Source organism: Homo sapiens, chromosome X, assembly GCF_000001405.40.
Source record: "Homo sapiens chromosome X, GRCh38.p14 Primary Assembly".
Classification (NCBI taxonomy): domain Eukaryota; kingdom Metazoa; phylum Chordata; class Mammalia; order Primates; family Hominidae; genus Homo; species Homo sapiens.
In genome coordinates this window covers 82,558,427-82,562,072 of record NC_000023.11, presented here as the reverse complement: position 1 = coordinate 82,562,072, position 3,646 = coordinate 82,558,427, and the positions used below count along the sequence as shown (strand labels likewise).

Here is a 3,646-nt window from a genome sequence, read left to right as displayed (position 1 = left end):
CTTCCTCTCTTCCTACTTGAATGCCATTTTTACTTTCTCTTGCCTGATTGCTCTGGCAAATATATAATTTAATGCTACACATTTTCCTTTAAGAATGGCTAACTTTGCATCCCACAAATTCTGATTATATTTTTGTTTTCATGTAGCTAAAATGATTTTTACATTTAATTTTTTTGAACCACGGGTTATTTAAAAACATGTTAATATTTGAAGTAAATTTTTACAAAATTGATTCATATTTATTGTGGTCTAGAACATACTTTATTTTTTATTTGATACAGTCTTTCAAATGTGTTAAGATGTGTTTTATAGCACAAAATGTGTTCTTTTTAATATTTCATGTGTGTTTTTGAAGAATGTGTATTATGCTCTTTTCATATGGATAATTCTATAACTGCTAAGTGATCAAATTGATTGAAGTGATGCTTAGGCCATCTTTATTCTTACTGATATTTTGCCTGCTTAATCTGTCAGTTACTTACATTGAGTTGTTGATGTCTCCAACTATAAAAGTAGATTTGTCTGTTTATCTTTGCAGTGCCGTCAGTTCTTGCCTCACATACTCTACTTTTTAGGTGTGTACATGTTTTGGATTGTTATATTCTCTTAAAGAATTGACCCTTTATCATTTAAAAATGGCTCTTCATTTCTGATCATTTCACTTTCTCTGAAATCTGCCTTTTCAAAAAATAATATAGCTACTCACACTTTTTTTACACTTATGTAATGTAGATTACAAACTAATAGTGACTTATATATATATTAATGTTATAACCCACTGTGGAAAGTGGCCAACATTATTATCCCAAACAGCCCAAGTTGGTAAAGGCTTTTTAACCAAAGCATTCTCTGAAAACATTAACTTTTGGTAACACGCTTTGTTTTGATAAATGTTAACACTGTATACCTTTCTTTACCTCTTTATTTTTAAATTATCTGTGTCTTTACATTGAAAGTGTCTTTCTTTTAGACATATACAGTTGATTTTGTTCTTTCCCCACTCTGACAATTTCTATCTTTAGTTAGTATGTTTGGACCATCATATTTAAAGTAATTATTTATACTAATATTCTATTTATATTAATATACATGATTGATATATTTCACCCTTATAAATATTTTCTATTCATTTCATTTGTTCTTTGTTTCTTTTTTTCTTCCTCTTTTTTTTTGAGACAGGGTATGTCTTTGTCACCCAGGCTGGAGTGCAGTCATGCAAACATGGCTCACTGCAGCCTTGACCTCGTAGGCTAAAGTGATCCTTCACCTTTGCCCCCCAAGTAACTGGAATTGTAACCACCCAAGAAGTTCACCTTGCTGGCTGCCTAGACAGAGCTTATTTATCAAGGCAGGGGAATTGCTATGAAGAATGTATAATTCACACCGAGCCAGCTGTGTAGGAAAGTGGAGTTTTATTATTACTCAAATCAGTCTCCCTGAACACTCAGAGATCAAGGTTTTAAAGATAATTTGGTGGGTAGGGGCTCAGGAAGTGGGGAGTGCTGATTGGTCAGGTTGGAGATGGAATCATAGGGGGCTGAAGTGACGTTTCCTCACTGTATTCTGTTTCTGGTTGGGATTGCAGAACTGGTTGAGTCAGATTACCACTCTGGGTGGTGTCAGCTAATCCATCTAGTGCAGGGTCTGCAAAATATCTCAAGCACTGACCTTAGGTTCTACAGTAGTAATGTTACCCCCAGGAGCAATTTGGGAAGGTTCAGACTCTTGCAGCCAGAAGCTGCATAACCCCTGAAGCATAATTTCTAATCTTGTAGCTAATTTGTTAGTCCTGCAAAGGCAGATTGGTCCCTAGGCAAGAAAGGGGTCTTTTCAGGAAAGAGCTATTATCAATTTCGTTTCAGAGTCAAACCATAAAAGGAATTCCTTCCCAAGGTTAGTGTGGCCTATGCCCAAGAATAAACAAGAACAGCTTAAAGGTTAAAAACAAGAGGCAGGGCGCGGTGGCTCACGCCTGTAATCCCAGCACTTTGGGAGGGCGAGGTGGGCAGATCACAAGGTCAGAAGATCAAGACCATCCTGGCCAGCATGGTGAAAACCCATCTCTACTAAAAATACAAAAGTCAGCTGGGCGTGGTGGCACGTGCCTATAATCCCAGCTGCTCAGGAGGCTGATTCAGGAGAATCGCTTAAACCAGGGAGTGAGCCAAGATCATGCCACTGCTCTCCAGCCTGGCAACAAATCGAGACTCTGTCTCAAAAAAAAATAAATAATAAAATAAAAAAGAGAAACAAGATGGAGTTGATTAGGTCTGATCTCTATCACTGTCATGATTTCCTCAGTTATAATTTTTTCAAAGGTGGTCTCAATTCCTGCTTTTTCGTTTTATAGCACCTTATTCTTAAGGTATGGACAATGAAGATGGAGAAAGGCTATCAATTGCTCTGGCTTCTTCCTGCTGACAGGGTGCATGGTGGGGGTAGGGGTTGACTCCAAGGTGAGAGACGTGGAACTGTTTTGCAGCTGTCTGAGCTTGCTCACACAGACCAGGCTGGGATTCCAAGGCTTTCATGACAAAGGTGTTAGTATTCTCATCTATAGTTTTAATACAGCATTTAAGTGGACAGTGTACTATAAATACTGAGTTCTAGGATAACGAGTGCAATTTCTGGTTTTAAAATTAAAGATTTAAAGCATTTGTTTGATAACTTGTAGGCAGCCAAAAATATTTAATCTGACTTGTACAGAAAAAAATAAAATAAAGACTCAAAAACAACTAACAACAGGTGTACTATAATTATTGAAACAATTTTTTTCTCCCAGTCTTTATTTTTATTAAAAAAAGTCATTATACTGCTGATTTACTTGCAAAATAAACTTTAGTTTTATTATACTTAGCCTGATTATTTGCATAGAGTGCAGCAAGAGTAATTATTTTTCACATAGGACTTTTAAATTGGCTCTGATGGAACTCTGTTGCATAAGGAATCTCAGATAAGACTTTTTAAGAAACCAAGTCAAGCCATGGGTTTTTACCCTCAAATACCTATGAGTTGGGTAAAAATTCTTCTCCTCTTGAGGTTTCAAGATAACTTGGGGCTCCTGGGCCTGTTAGAAAGTGACATTCTTTACTTACCACAGGTCAGGAACTCTGTATAGGAACTGCATAGACAAGGTATGAGGCCAGTTTTCCCAATGGGCTTTTATTTGCTCTATAAGTCAAATTTGATTCCTTAAAGGACAACACACCATTCTAGTCAAAGACTTGGTAAAATAACCAGTTTCTCCGATTGTGTTCTGTTGTAAAAGAAAACATTCTTATTGCATTTATGCAAATAACTATATTGCCATAATTTAAGAATACTCACATAGTTTCCAAATTCTGGGGAAATCAGATAGAGAGAAGCAAATATGCCTCTAATTTTCTTCAGAGCAGTATACTTTACTCAGTTGTTAAAACCTGTAAATAGCTCAAAAAATAAGTTTCCTTGGCTCTGAAAAAAACAAAAAGGATCAGCAAAGTTTTTAGCAAAACATAAAAGTAAAAAAAAAAAGGTTACTTCAGTTTTCTATCAGCTCAGTCCATTAAGTCAACTCCTGTTCTGCTTGATATTCATGAACATTTTAGCTTTCCATGACAGTCCTGAGAGTTTATTTCCTTTATTCTAATGTCACAATCTCGAGTTA

General features: G+C 36.0%; 1 non-coding gene across 1 annotated transcript; it reads right to left on the bottom strand.

Annotated features, from left to right (window-relative positions):
- Positions 1-725: 725 nt before the first annotated feature.
- LOC124900496 (small nucleolar RNA SNORA4) lies at positions 726-872 on the bottom strand. The gene has a single exon (XR_007068426.1). It is a non-coding gene; the product is annotated as a small nucleolar RNA SNORA4 (small nucleolar RNA).
- Between the last annotated feature and the right edge of the window lie 2,774 nt (positions 873-3,646).